The following is a 16,077-nucleotide window of genomic DNA, read 5'->3' as shown; positions in this document are numbered from 1 at the left end:
TGGCAGACTTCTCTCTATGTGTCACTCTTCTCAATTGTGAAATGAACATAATAATAGAAGTTTCCTCGTTAAAGTTGTGAAGATGAATCAATGCTTGTAAAGCAAGGCCTACAGCATAGTAAGTGTTCAGTCAATGTTAAGGAGCCCTGGGGAGGGAAGGAGGTCACGGTCTTCCCTGGGCAGTATGGGCTGCTGTGAACCTGTGTGGGGTTGGCTTGAACTGAATCCATTGTAACGGCCTGGGGGATTCAGTCCCCTGCCCAGCTCCTCTTGCCATCTCTCTTTTTTTGTGTTGTGCCAGAGCCATGTAAGGGACTGAAACTGGCGTGGCACAGGAACACAGGCACTCAGGCCAAGCAAAGATGGCCTTGCTGTTGAGTGAGTGAATTGCAGCTCATCTCTCTGTTGTGACCTTGTCCATTTCATGCGAAGCAACACTTATGGGTGGGCCCAGTGCCTGTTTGCTTTCAGGGAAACAGCACAGAAATCAGGATCAGTAAATTTGATGTTGAAGTCTTTTTATCCCTTGGACTCTCCCATATCCCACTCAGGTCCCCATCAGCACATTGTCACCTCATCCCTGCAATGGTCTGGCAGCTCTGCTGTGCCTCAAAGAGGCTCTGACAAGCCTCGCTGGGATGTGCAAGCCACTGCGCAAGGCTAATAATTTGGTGATTCTTTGAATAAATATTAAAAATATCTACTGTGCAGAAGTGAATTTTTGGTTAATAAAAATTTCATGCAGAATTCTTTTCTTTCTCTCTTTCTTTCTTTTTCTTTTTTCTTTTGGCAGGCCCTCGTTCTGTCACACAGGCTGGAGTGCAGTGGTGCAATCACAGCTCACTGCAGCCTTGACTTCCAGGCTCAAGTGATCCTCCCACCTCAGTCTCCCAAGTAGCTGGGACTATGGGCACGTGCCACCACACCTGGCTAATTTTTGTATTTTTTGTAGAGACAGAGTCTTATTATGTTGCTCAGGCTGGTCTTGAACCCCTGAGCTCAAGTGATCCTTTTGCCTCAGCCTCCCAAAGGGCTGGGACTATAGGCAGGAGTCACTGCACCCTTCCTTTTTCTTTCTTTTTAAAAATCTGATTTATTTCCATGGGTAGAAGCAGACCCAACATTTTGAAAATATATTTGTACCACGCCCTTTTTTTTATTTTTTTCTTTTTTGAGACAGAGTCTCGCTCTGTCGCCCAGGCTGGAGTGCAGTGGTGCGATCTCGGCTCACTGCAAGCTCCACCTCCCAGGTTCACTCCATTCTCCTGCCTCAGCCTCCTGAGTAGCTGGGACTACAGGCGCCCACCACCACGCCTGGCTAATTTTTTTTGTATTTTTAGTAGAGACGGGGTTTCACCGTGTTAGCCAGGATGGTCTCGATCTCCTGACCTCGTGATCCGCCCACCTCGGCCTCCCAAAGTGCTGGGATTACAGGCGTGAGTCACCGCGCCCTGCCTGTACCACGACTTTTTTTGGTAGTGTTTGTTCCTTAGCTACTTTCGCTCTCTGATCTTCTAAACCAGACTCCTTCGGAGGTGCATGAAAGGGCTTGCAATTTAGGTAGTTAACAGCTGGTAAGCAGCAAAGATGCAAACATGATCTGAATCAGCATCTTAGCTGATGGTGATAGTGGGCTTTCAGCTGCCAGTGAATCCAAGTGTATAAAAGAAAAAAAAAAACTCAGATGAGAGAAGTTTTCAAAATGTCCACTGGGTGGAGCTGTCAGTTTAGCTGGAAGCATGTTTGGCTTACTTAGCTACAAGTTACACCAGTGATGTTTCAGTGACTCTTAAAATTGGTGCCCAAACCCTTTCCTACTTCCTTCAAACCCAGATCATAATTACAACTAAATAACATTGGTGGGATTATTGTCAGTTTCACTCACAAGACTGTAAAGTTCATGGAAACCCTGAAGGTCAGGATTCCCAGAGATGCCGCTTTGGTCTTCTTCCTCTAAATTTAGTTGGTTATCAAAGGAATAATTTAGGGAGGTTATTAAAAATGGATTCCTGGAAACTTTCCCAATCCTGATTTAGTAGTAGTGGGGTGGAGCCATGTGTTAGTTATCTATTGGTGTGTAAACAAATCACCCCAAAACTTAGAAGCTTAAAAGAATAGTACTTATTATCTTTCACAGTTTCTGTGGGTCAGGAATTTAGGAGTGACTTATTTTGGGGTTATGGCTCAGGGTCTCCTGTGAGGCTGCTGTCAGATGTCAGCTGGGGCTGCCTTCATCTGAAGGCTCGACTGGAGCTGAGGGATCCACTTCTGAGGGTGCTGGCAAGCTGGATCCAGGAACAGTATAGGACAGGGAGGATGTGCTGGACTGGCTCAGATATATCCAGATGTAGGTGCTGTCTGGGCATGGCAGATTATTAAATGTTGGTTCTTTGGCTGGGTGCACCCTGTTGCATCCTCTGACCACAGCAACCCTGAAGCATACAGTCTTCTTCCCCAGCAGGTCTCCTCAGCCTCTAGGCTTCCATGGTCCCCTCAGCCTCTAGGCTTCCATGGTCCCCCATCCCTGCAGGGTCACTTTGTCTTTCCAGGCTAACTCCTGGGAAGTGTTCCTTTCAACATGGCTTGAGGTTGGCTCCTTCCCATATGGCCCACATCTAGCCTTGGGAAAACATGAGCATTTGCCCTCCTTCTTCACTCCCCAGAGAGGGGCAGGGAGAGGAGAAATGGTGCAAGATTCCAACAGCTCTCTGGAGACATTGTCTCTCTACCTCTTCCACCTCTCCAGCATCAAAGGCTGGTGGTGGGTATGCGTGGGATCTGACAATGGCTTCCTAGTCTCTTGATGGGTCCTGCACCAGTGACCTAACACTTTGCCTAGGAATGTGGGGACTTGGTACCTGTTGTGTTCTTGGCCTTTGCACATTAATGAAAACCTGATACAGCAAGTCCTTTTCAAGATCCTGTTCCATTTCTCCATACGCCAACTTTAAAGCCTTCCTAAGCATCCGACTCCAGCACCCGGGAGCTTCTTGACCTTCTCCACTTGAGTATCGCAGAGTTAAGTTGAACATGGTGCATCAGAGCTCAGTATCCATCCTGGGAGCCACATTCTCCTCCTCCCTTTCTGTCTTGAGTGGAGACACGGGGGTCAGAAACCACGTTATCCACAACCACTCTTACTCCCCACTCATCATCCCGTCCCTCGCCTCGCCCTGACAATTGTACCCCCTAATTATTCCTTGAACCTGCCCTCCTCCTGCCTCTGCACTCCACCTTCCTCCATTGCTTTAGCCCAGCCATTTCTCTCCTCTTCTCCACCTTGATTCAGCTAACTCCTCCTAGACCTGGCATAGTCATCCGTTCCAGGAACCCTTATCTGATAAAATCCCATCCCTTTGCCCAAAGGCTGGGCTGGGTCAGGTGCCCCTCCTACCGACAGTTTCCTGTGTCGTCATTGGCCACCTCTTGTGCCTCGCCTTGCATCCTCCCTGCCCACATTTTATTCCAGTCATGGCTGGGGCCACCAGCTTTGAGCAAGTGCAAGCTGACCGCATGTCCCTGGCTGTCCTGCCTACCTCGCTTTCTGCCTCTGGGCTTGCCTGACATTGAGGAATGGGATGTCTGCAGAAATGTGCCAGGCACTCACACATGCGCAAACCTGGGAGGGTGGAGAGTTAATGCTCCAAGGGGCAACACACTTGACCACTGGGAGACGGGCTGGTGGACGAATGTTCCCCTCCTGTCCTTCTGACGATGTGTCAGAATGAGGCACATCACTCTTCACCACTCCTTAGACAGCCTCTAGTGGCATCATTCCCAGTTACTTAGAACGTGATGCAGCTTGGTATGAGGTTGCTGCAAAAGTCATTGCGGTTTTTACCATTGAAAGTAATACCAGAAACCGCAATCACTTTTGCACCAACATAATAAAATGTGTGTTGGCTTTCCCTCCTGCCCTGTTTCACTCTTCCTATGCCCCTAGTCCCCAACTCTGCTTCCGAGGACCACTTCCTTAAATAAATTAGTTCATACAATCCCTTATCTTAGGTTTTGCTTGACTTGAGAGGGACACAAGCTATATTTAACTCAAACACTGCCTTTGTCAAATTAAGAGTATAATAGTTACTTGTTTATATTTCTGTCTCTTCACTCAACTACAAGTTCTTTAAAGCAGGGACTATGCCTCCTTTGTCATCCAAGTAATGCATAATAAGCGCTTGTTAAGTGAATGGCTCAGGGGTAGAAAGAACAGGCTGCTGGATGAAGCTGGAAACCATCATTCTCAGCAAACTATCGCAAGGACAAAAAACCAAACACCGCATGTTCTCACTCATAGGTGGGAATTGAACAATGAGAACACATGGACACAGGAAGGGGAACATCACACACTGGGGCCTGTTGTGGTGTGGGGGGAGCGGGGAGGGATAGCATTAGGAGATATACCTAATGTTAAATGACGAGTTGATGGGTGCAACACACCAACATGGCACATGTATACATATGTAACAAACCTGCATGTTGTGCACATGTACCCTAAAACTTAAAGTATAATTAAAAAAAAAAAAAAAGAAAAGAAAGAACAGGCTGCATTTACCCTTGGCAGCTAAAGTGCATGGGGCATAAAGCACCCTTAGAAGATGCTTTTCATGCGTTACCTCATTTAATTCTAATTTAATTCTAGAGCAACCCTAGGAGGTAAGTGCTGTTATTATTCCCATTTTAAAGATGAGGAACAAGTTGAGAGAGTTAGATATCTTTTCTTTCTTTTATTTTATTTTTTTGAGATGGAGTCTCACTCTGTCTTGCCCAGGCTGGAGTGCAGTGACATGATCTCGGCTCACTGCAGACTCTGCCTCCCAGGTTCAAGTGATTCTCCTGTCTCAGCCTCCCGAGTAGCTGGGACTACAGGCGTGTGCCACCACACCTGGCTAATTTTGTATTTTTAGTAGAGACAAGGTTTCACCATGTTGACCAGGCTGGTCTCAAACTACTGACCTCAGGTGATCTACCTGCCTCAGCCTCCCAAAGTGCTGAGATTACAGGCGTGAGCCACGGTGCCCAGCCGTGAGTTAGATAACTTACCCAGAGCCACACAGCTAGAGGAAAAAGCATCAGAATTTTGAACTCTGGTCTATCTCATTCCCAAGTTGGCCTCTTATCAACTCAATTAATTATTGGGGAACTATGGAGCTTGTTATCATTACAGGATAAAGTGCTGGCGGGGAGTGCATGGAGGAGAGGTGTCTTCGTGGGCAGGGGCTGCATCATGAAGGATCTCTGTCAGGTGGTTTTTATCTTTAGGCAACGGGGAACCTCTGGAAGCTTAAAACATTTTCTCATTGTGAGCCTTTCCAAGTGTCCTGGCATTAAAAATAAATAAATAAATAAATAAATAAATAAATAAAAATACAAGCAGTTTGAAGAACTTCTGCAAGGGGGCAGGCATTGGCAGCCGATGAGACAATTCGTCTTGGAAAACTAGCGTGGGAAACTTGGTTCAGTTTTCTTTGCCTAGTGGGGCCTCTGCTCAGCCCTGTGAGTGGATCTGAGATCGATAAGTCACCCCAAGCACTGGAGACCTGCTGCTGTTCACTTTGCCTTTCGCTCCTTTCCTGCCTTCCTGTCTTCTTCCCCTCACCCTTTCTCCCCTCATTTCTCTGGCTTACTTCACAGAAGTGGAAATAGGTTCAAAAATGTGTAAGTTGGTGCAAAAGTAATCGCGGTTTTTGCCACTAAAAGCAATAGCAAAAACCGCTATTACTTTTGCACCAATGTAATAGTAGCAGCTTCCTAAACATCGCCAAGTTTGCAACATCGTGAAAGCCCAATCCACCTTCAAACAACAGCACACAAACAGCAACAGTCATCGCAACAGCAGTGTAGACCTCAGTATGTCCGCCAGCCATGGGAAAAGGTCTGTGCCCTGCCGTCACGTATCAGGAGTCCCTGTACAGTGTCCGTCCCCTCTGCACACTTTGGAAATGGTTATTGATTCCAATTTAGGCTCAGGTGACATTTGCTGAATACCTACCATGTATCAGGCTTGGTGCTGTGAGATTGAGCCTATGTTATTTCATTGAATCTTCATACTCATAGTTTGAGCTAAGTCAGATTTTCCCTGTTTACAAAGGAGGAAACTGAGTATCAGAGAGGCTAAGGTCACCGGATTGGCAGGTCATGAAGCCATATTTAAACCAGATTTTTGAACTTCTACTGTAGTGTTCCTGCCTTTAAACCACACTGGAGTGGTTGGCTGATCCTCTCTCTATGTGAGTGTGATTCAGAGTGACCGACGGAGGGTGGAGGGAGACGTGAAGCAGCTTTTTTTCTTTGATGTCATCCAGGCTTGATGCGTAGATGCTCCGGAGGGAAAAAGAGGAGTGGAGAGAGGTTGTCATTGCTCTAAACTTCAGCTTTCTGACTCCATGTACAGGGTGGGGTGGCGTGGGGGGTTCAAGCTGGAGAACTCAGGTAAGAGGAATGGGTTTAAGGGCCCAGGGAATGGAAACCCTTGGCTGACTCTCTGCTCAGCCACCGACTGTCCTGGGTAATCCTGGTGGACAGCAGAGGGCTGCGGTCCAACAAGAAATTCTATGGAACCCCTGTACAGAGGAGAGTGCTAGGGAGCAGGAGTTTCAGAGTGACCCGCTCAAGGCCATCAGTGGAAGAGCCAGGCGTGGAACTCTGGTTTCCCATCTTGAGGGCCTTGAGCGTCCCTTTGCACCAGAATTTTCCAAAGTGGGATCCACACTGTGCCCTCGGGGCAGGTGTACCGGGGGTATGGGGAGGGACACAGGTGAACGCTTCTTATTTAATAATCATAAACAACAGAGTCTCGCTCTGTTGTTTATTTTGATGTGTATTAGGAAAATACATAGCAACCACATCAAAACCATGAATACATGGATATTATTGTGAGGATGAGGATAAGTAGACAGTGCATAAAAAATAAACATTACCTGAGGAATACACTACATAATGTAATGTATATAGTGTATTAGCTTCCTATTGCTGCTGTAACAAATTACCACCAACTTATTGGTTTAAAACAATACAAATTGATCATCTTATAGTTACAGAGGCCAGAAGTCTTAAAATCATGGTGGCCGGGCACAGTGGCTCACACCTGTAATTCCAGCACTTTGGGAGGCCAAGGCAGGCGGATCACTTGAGCTCAGGAGTTCGAGACCAGCCTGGCCAACGTGGTGAAATCCTGTCTCTACTGAAAGTACAAAAAATTAGCCAGGCATGGTGGCTCATGCCTATAGTCCCAGCTACTTGGGAGGCTGAGGTAGGAGAATTGCACGGACCTGGGAGGTGGAGGTTGCAGTGAGCCAAGATCGTGTCACTGCATTCCAGCCTGGGCAACAGAGCGAGACTCCATCTCAAAAAACTAAACCCCAAAAAACAAAAACAGAAGTCTTAAAATCAAGGTGTTGCCAGGGCTGCATTTCTTCTGAGGGCTCTAGGGAAGAACTTGAGTCCTTGCTTTCTCTAGCTTTTAGAAGCTGCCTGCCTTCCTTAGCTTAGGGCCCCATCCTCACAACACACCTGGTTTTTCTGAGTTTGACCCTTCTGCCTCCCTTTTATAAGGAGCCTTATAATTACATTGGGCCCTCCTAGGAAATCCAGAATAATCTCTCCTTTTCGAGATCCTTTTAATCACATCTGCAAAGTCCCTTTTGCCATGTAAGGTGCCATATTCACAGGTTCCGGGAATTAGGACACAAGCATCTTTCGGCAGTTATCATTCTAGTAGACATGGTATGAATATGTGGTGTATGGGGAAACTCAGGCAGCTCATGTTTGAGTGATTGGAGATTGGGGAGTTCTGCTTTACACTCCAGCTGCCTCCTTATGGGCCATTTTTGGACTTGAAGTTGGCTTTCTTGGGATCTGTGTAGGTGCAGGCTTAGGCAGAGGAAAACTTTGCTATTTGAGAGCATACTTGCCTGTTCATGAGGGCTTCTATGGGAATGTCTTTCGGAGAGCTGGTAGACCTGGAATCAAATTCGGGGGTTGAGGCCACAAAGAGCGGACTGGCTCTGCATAAAAGTGTGAGGAGAGAGCAAAGGAGAATGCATAGCTTTGCTGAGGTGGTGGGAGGCAGAGGAACTCTTAAAGAACAGGGTGTCTGATATTTAATCTGGAGTTATTTTCATTCTTGCCATGGAACTGCTCCTTTGTTTCATCTCATGCTTGGAAAAAATCTATAAAAATGCTGTGTGTGTGTGTGTGTGTGTGTGTGTGCCTGTGCATGCATGGGTTGAAAAAATTACTGGCCTCCACTGGTTAATTTTTTTTTTTTCTGAGTCGCAGCCCAGGCTGGAGTACAGTGACATGATCTTGGCTCACTGCAACCTCTGCCTCCCGGGTTCAAACAATTCTCATGCCTCAGCCTCCTGAGTAACTGGGATTACACATCCAGCTAATTTTTGTGTTTTTAGTAGAGACGAGGTTTCACCATGTTGGCCAGGCTGGTCTTGAACTCCTGAGTTCAAGTGATCTGCACGCCTCAACCTCCTAAAGTGCTGGGATTACATGTGTGAGCCACTGTGCCCGGCCTGGTTAAATTTTTTTTTTTTTTTTTTTGAGATAGAGTCTCACTCTGTTGCCCAGACTGGAGTGCAGCGGGGCAAACTGCAGTCTCGAACTCCTGGTCTCAAGTGATCCTCCTGCCTCATACGCCCAAGTAGCTGGGACCACAGTTACGCATCACCACACCCAGCTAATTTTCTTGATTTTTAGTAGAGAGGAAGTCTCACTATGTTGTCTAGGCTGGTCTTGAACTCCTGAACTCAAGTGATCCTCCTGCCTCAGTCTCCCAAAGTGCTGAGATTATAGGTGTGAGCCACCGTGCCTGGCCCACTGGTTAAAATTTTTATCCCTGCCTCCTTGCTCCCTCCTATTAAAGGAAAGGCTGATTTCCTTATCTGTATCTTGAGGGACAGACTGTGATGCATAGGCTGAGTAGCTAGGCATAGGCAAAGGCAACTGTGAGAGTAAAGCATCGCAAATATCTCAGGGGAGGCTTTGGTCTTCCTCAGCATTATCTCAGTTAATCCTCACTGGGACCTCTGAGACCCAGATAAGTTGGTTTCACAATGGACCAATTGGGATTTTAGTTACATCTGTGGGACTCTAAGGCCAGTTCTGGAATTTGTTGTCTTGGACAAACATACCTGTTTCCTGCTTTTTGGAAACAGGATAGTCTCAATTCTCACCTAGACCTCATTGCATTAACTAGATCCTCCTGTATCAATTTTAATGAGTCTTCCCTTAGGGCTTTTCATGTGTGGAGAACTAGGTGGAGTGGCAAAGATAAACAAAGTCAGACACCAGTTAATGTGGTATGGACAGATATTAATCAGTAATACAGTGGTCTTCTCTTATCTGAGGGGTTATCTTCCAAGACCTCCAGTGGATGCCTGAAACCACAGATAGTACCAAACCCTATCGTATTAGTTTTCATGCTGCTGGTAATGACATACCAGAGGCTGGGCAATTTACAAAGGAAAGAGGTTTAATGGACTTACAGTTCCACGTGGCTGGGGAGGCCTCACAATCATGGCGGAAGGTAAGGAGGAGCAAGTCACATCTTAAATGGATGGTGGCGGGCGAAGAGAGAAGAGAGTTTGTGCAGGGAAACTCTCCTTTTTAAAACCATCAGATCTCATGAGACTTATTCACTATCATGAGAACAGTACGGGAAAGACCTGCCCCCAGGATTCAATTACCTCCCACTGGGTTCCTCCCACAACATGTGGGAATTCAAGATGAGATTTGGGTGGGGACACAGCCAAACCATATCACCTATATACTGTTTTTTTGATCTGATAACCCAGATTGCTACTGAGTGACTAGTGGGTGGGTGGCACAGGCAACGTGAGTACCCTGGACAAAGACATGATTTACGTCCAGGTCAGGAAAGAGTGGGATGGTGTGAGATTTCATCATGATAGCCAGAACAGACATGGAATTTACAACTTGTGAATTGTTTATTTCTGGAATTTTTCTTTTTATATTTTCAGATCACAGTTGCTGGTAACTGAAACCAGAAAGCATAAAACCTCAGAAAGGGGTTAACTACTATATACTATTGAAATAGGGAAGAAGGTCAGGTGTAAACTCAACTTTGATTTGTACGGAGGTGACCGGGCATTTTAAAGGGAGACTGGAGTAGGGTGGGGGCAACTGGGGGCTCATTTGAGTCAGAGAAAAGACAAATTACAAAAAGTAGGAAGAAAAGATTGGTCCATGTGAAACCCATCTGGGTTTGTTGCCTGGCTCTTATTGAATGTAGGTGGGCTCCTACCCTCCCACAGAGACTGGGAGACAGGCTCTGTCCTCAGGTTGCTGGAACAAACAGTACATTCTTTTGGCAACCTGGAGTTTTCTCAGGCAGGCACTTTAAGGAAGCTGGAGTTGTCCTAGGGATATGGCTGAGCTGTTAGAAACTATGTTAGTGTTTGCTCAAGTCTTTCTAGGCCATGCCTTGAGGTCTAGTAGAGAAAGGGCTCAGAGGGCCCTGGCTAGAGTTTGGTCGAGGACAGAATCTTGGTCAGGAGTGTGCTACAGTGTGTCAGGTGTGGTCCTGCACTGTTCCCAAAGTGTGTTTCTTAGAACACCATTGTGCTGGGATGGTAATAGGTGTCCATGGAAAAAGAGGTCCATAAGTAAGGAAAATATTGAAAGTTAATCCATTATCTATCTATCTATCTATCTATCTATCTATCTATCTATCTATCATCTATCTATCCATCCTCTATTTGATAGATAGATAAAACTTCTCAGAGCCTCTAATATATGCATTGGGGGTCTCCAAGAGGGAGATTTCATTAGGAATCAGTATCTAGAGAAAATGTATGCCTGGCACAGAACAAGTGCTCTGTGACTGTGTGTGTGGCATGAATGAATGAAGCAGTGAGTGGATATTAGAGACGATGGACTGCAGGAGTCTAAGAGAGGAAAGAAGGAAAGAAAACTTACTGCATCAGTGAGTAGCTCGGGACTCTGGTAATGAATGATCAAGTAAAAAAGTATGAATATTTACTTTTTTTTTTTCTTTTTTTTAGACAGAGTTTTGCTTTTGTTGCCCAACCTGGAGTACAATAGTACGATCTAAGCTCATTGCAACCTCCACCTCCTGGGTTCAAGCAATTCTCCTGCCTCAGCCTCCCGAGTAGCTGGGATTACAGGCGCCTGCCACCATGCCTGGCTAATTTTTGTATTTTTAGTAGAGACGGGGTTTCACCATGTTGGCCAGGCTGGTCTCAAACTCTTGACCTCAGATGATCCGCCCACCTTGGCCTCCCAAAGTGCTGGGATTATAGGCATGAGCCACTGCACCCAGCCGATTATTTACTATGTTAATAGCTACTATTTATTAAGCAACTACTATGTGCTGGGCATGATGGTAGATGCTTTCTTCTATTATCTTTTTTAGTTAAAACAGATCAAGAAATATAATTAAACATTTAGGAGGGTTTTTGTAGGCTTGGTTTATAGAAGTAATCACTAAAAGCAATTGTGATAATCTGACAAAGACTTAAGCTTACCTGTGGTCATAATAGGAAGGGCTAAAGACCAGCTAACCCTCCAAGCCACTTGAAATATTAGTAATTAATGGCAGAGTGTTATGCATAATTAGACACTAGTAGTGTGCAGCTTTTTTTGAAATGCAGCATTTACATTGGACGTCAATCTTTGCTTTCGTCAGGAAACCACCAGCGTACTGTACGTTGTTAAATGAAAGCAAGCAGCCAGGTTAAATTCTAATTAAACATTACCATTGTTATTTGAAAAATAACAGCTTAGTGTTGGTGTCAAATTGACTTTTATCCACGAATGGAATTAGAACATTTTGTCATTTTAGGCTGTCTAATACATGTGAATAACACTTCCTGAGAAGCTGTCTTTGACTTTAGTTAAGTTGAAACAAAGAGAATTAATATGGTGAGGATGTAAATGAGGATGTCATTTAGCAAAAGAAAAGGATTATGTTGTATCTGTTTTCCTTTGAGCCTCTACCGGTGCTTTGTAAGCAGGCTGGACATTTTTCTGGACTGTGAATTCCAAATGTAGCTCCTGTTACTGCATGGTGGTTCAGTGGGTAAGCTGTTCCCGTTTGCTGCGTGCAACTTTCCCAAACCAGCTGTCTGAGCAGGGAAATGAGTGGGCTTTCCCAAGGGGCAGAAGGATAAAAGAAGAAAGAAAACTTTGAGTTTTAAGAAAATGTGTACTGAGAATGAATGTATCAAGAACTTGTTAGGATAGAAAGTAAATTTAAGGCAGAATTGCACATATATAAAGCTGGTAGGGAGGTGGCACGGTGGTGGGCATTGAGAACCAGACAGACTGATTGACTAGTTATTGATTAAGTTCTCCTATGTGCCAGACCCTGGCAGTCACTGCCTTTGAGAATCTTAGATTTCAGAACTATGAGGAAGACCTACAATTGCAATGGGATTGTGGAGTGGACAGCACAGTGCAAATCTCAAATCTTTTAGTTTCTACCTATGTGATCTTGGACAAATTATTTCACCTGTCTGATTCTCATGTTTTTCATTTGTAAAATGGGGGCACTAGCCTCAACCTCACAGATTTATTGTGAGGATGAAGCGAAATACTACATTAAGAGATCTAGTATAGTGTCCTGAATACACATAGCCCTCAGTAACCTGCTAGTGTCCTTTGTCTTAATACCGAAACCACCTTTGTCTTAATACTGAAAAAACAGACAGAGAAAGAGATTTGACCTAACCAACTCCATCTTGCTTCTAACCTCCAAGCTGTCCTTGTTCATTCCGGGGTGTAGGCTGAACTAACTTTGAGAGGAAATTAGTTTATGGTTTAAAACAAAGACAATAACAGCCCTTTCCCAAAACAAACCTCCTTCTTGCCTGGGGACTAGACTGCCTTTGCAGGACTAACAAGTTAGCCACAAGATTAGAAATTATAGTTTAGGGCCGGGCATGGTGGCTCACGCCTGTAATCCTAGCATTTTGGGAGGCTGAGGTGGGCGGATCACTTGAATTCAGAAGTTTGAGACTAGCATGGCCAACATAGGGAAATCTCGTCTCTACTAAAAAAAAAAAAAAAAAAAAAAAAAAAAAAAAAAATTAGACAGGCATGGTTGTGTGCCTATAATCCCAGCTACTCTGGAGGCTGAGGCAGGACAATCGCTTGAACCTGGGAGGCCGAGATTGCAGTCAGCTGAGATTGCGCCACCGTACTCCAGCCTGGGAAACGGAGACTCTCTCAAAAAAAAAAAAAAAAAAAGAAATAGTTCAGAAGTCAGGCAGCTGGAGGCTACAAGATTCTGACCCTCCCTAAACTGCTCCTAAGATCAGGGCTTGAGACATTTTGCAGACCCTGCACTTGACGGATCAGCTGGCACCACCCAGATTGATAAACTGGCTCATCTGGTCTTGTGGTCCCCATCCAGGAACTGACTCAGCTGCAGGAGGACAGCTTCAATTCCCTATGAGTTCATCTCGGACCCAACCAATCAGAGCTCTTGACTCACTGGCTTCCCCCTACCCACCAAGTTGTCCTTAAAAACTTTGATCCCCGAATGCTTGGGGAAACCAATCTGAGTAATAATAAAACTCAAGTCACCTGCACAGCTGGCTCTGTGTGAATTACTCTCTCTATTGCAATTCCCCTGTCTTGATAAAATGGCTCTATCTAGGCAGCTGGCAAGGTGAATCCATTGGGTGGTTACAATACCTCCCTTAGTAGACTAAAGAACAACTTGGATAAAACCAGCAAGAAATGGATTATATCGAGGGAAATTGTCATGCCCATCCAAGACCATGATAAGGAATGAGGAAGTAACATAATGGAAGGATTCTGTCTCTTCTCATTGGGACTGACTCTAAGCACCTCTGATTAGATGTCATTCTATGTCTGGGATGATCTCAGGACTATGGTATTGTCCTCTTGTGCTATCAATTTTAACTCACAAATGGATGTCGATGTCATTTATTCTCTTATTCTACAGACCTTCATTGGCTACATGGGTAGTATGGGCAAGAGATAGGTGGTCCTGACGGAGGAGTGGGAAGAGCCAGTGCTCTGGAGTGGGATTACTTTCTGGCTGCCTGCTCAGGAAAGTTGTTTCACCATTCTCAACCTCAGTTTCCACATCTGTAATATATGGAAATTAATTTCTACCTCATAGGATTGTTGTAAGTATTAAATGAGATATTATTGTAATGCTTAATTAAATGAGATAATATATTTAAAAATATAATTCCCCTAGATATAATACATATGTATACATAATATATACATATAATACATATGTATACATAACATATACGTATAATACGTATGTATACATAATCTATGCATATAATACATATGTATACATAATCTGTGCGTATATAATACATATGTATACATAATCTGTGCGTATATAATACATATGTATACATAAGCTGTGCATATATAATACATATGTATACATAAGCTGTGCGTATATAATACATATGTATACATAAGCTGTGCGTATAGAATACATATGTATACATAAGCTGTGCGTATAGAATACATATGTATACATAATCTGTGCGTATAGAATACATATGTATACATAATCTGTGCGTATAGAATACATATGTATACATAATCTGTGCGTATATAATACATATGTATACATAAGCTGTGCGTATAGAATACATATGTATACATAAGCTGTGCGTATATAATACATATGTATACATAAGCTGTGCGTATAGAATACATATGTATACATAATCTGTGCGTATAGAATACATATGTATACATAATCTGTGCGTATATAATACATATGTATACATAAGCTGTGCGTATAGAATACATATGTATACATAAGCTGTGCGTATATAATACATATGTATACATAAGCTGTGCGTATATAATACATATGTATACATAAGCTGTGCGTATATAATACATATGTATACATAAGCTGTGCGTATATAATACATATGTATACATAAGCTGTGCGTATAGAATACATATGTATACATAAGCTGTGCGTATATAATACATATGTATACATAACCTGTGCATATATAATACATATGTATACATAATCTGTACATATATAATACATATGTATATATAAAGGGATTGGTAACCAAATCTCTATATAATATTATATCTCTGTTACGGGAGTGGGGCAGGGAAGTGCTGGATAGAGAAGGGCAGGGTCCTTGGCAAAAGCTCCAACTTCAGGCCTGTGCCCACAGACCTAAGTGAGAAGATGCGCTCCTGTTTTCAAGCCTGAATGTTGCATTTTCCAAGACCACTGTGGCCTGCCACACTCCCCATCCTGTGTCCATACAAACCTGAGACCTTAGAGGGCACACCCACAAGTGGCTGCACATTGAGACCAGCAGACCAGCAGACCAGCAGACTAGAAGACCAGCAGACCAGCAGACCAGCAGACTAGCAGACCAGCAGACCAGTGATGGTGGAACAATGCAGCAGAAAAAGAGAGAAAAGGAGAGACGTCTGGACACCGAGGGGAGTTCAGCCTGAGGTGGTTGGAGAAGAGTCCGCTCACTGGGCCCAACTCCAGAGGAAACCACATTCCCACTCCATCCCCCTTTCTGGCTCCCCATCCATCTTGCTGAGAGCCACCTCCATCACTCAATAAAACCTTGCTCTCATCCTTCAAGCCCGCGTGTGATCCAATTCTTTTGGGACACTGGGCAAGAGCTTGGGATACAGAAGGTTGTCACAATGCCCCCTGCCCTTGCTATAAGGCAGAGAGTCCATTGAGCTGATTAATACACAAGCTGTCTGCAGACGGCAAAGCTAAAGGAGTACAGTGTAACACATGCCCGCTTGGGCTTTGGGAGTCTCAGACACGCACCCCTAGATGCTGCCGTGGGGCCAGAGCCCAAAAGTGCTTACTCCAGTTCTTGCACCTGCCCATCTGCATGCCCTCCCTTCTGTAAAGGGTTTGAGCTGTGGGGGGACCAAACAGCATGACCACATCCCTGTTGCACGACCATGCCCCTGTTGCAAGGGGAATCAGGGAACTCTCCCATTTCATTAGTTTGTTCATGCTGGTCTAAAAAAAAAAATACCTGAGATTGGGTAATTTATAAACAATAGAAA

At 44.5% G+C, this 16,077-nt stretch overlaps 1 long non-coding RNA gene across 1 annotated transcript, besides 1 other annotated feature; it reads left to right on the top strand.

Moving 5' to 3' along the window:
* Window positions 3,013–3,512: an enhancer, noted in NCBI's record as "H3K4me1 hESC enhancer chr4:17472355-17472854 (GRCh37/hg19 assembly coordinates)". NCBI's record gives its function as "activates a minimal SCP1, AML or CMV promoter by ChIP-STARR-seq in naive H9 embryonic stem cells {active_cell/tissue: H9 hESC(naive)}" and the evidence as "EXISTENCE:reporter gene assay evidence [ECO:0000049][PMID:30033119]".
* LOC124900676 (uncharacterized) lies at window positions 13,357–15,631 on the top strand. The gene is made up of 2 exons (XR_007058072.1): window positions 13,357–14,153; window positions 15,201–15,631. It is a non-coding gene; the product is annotated as an uncharacterized LOC124900676 (long non-coding RNA).
* The last annotated feature ends 446 nt before the right edge of the window (window positions 15,632–16,077 follow it).

This window comes from Homo sapiens, chromosome 4 (assembly GCF_000001405.40).
Source record: "Homo sapiens chromosome 4, GRCh38.p14 Primary Assembly".
NCBI lineage: Eukaryota > Metazoa > Chordata > Mammalia > Primates > Hominidae > Homo > Homo sapiens.
This window is presented reverse-complemented; position numbering and strand designations above follow the sequence as displayed.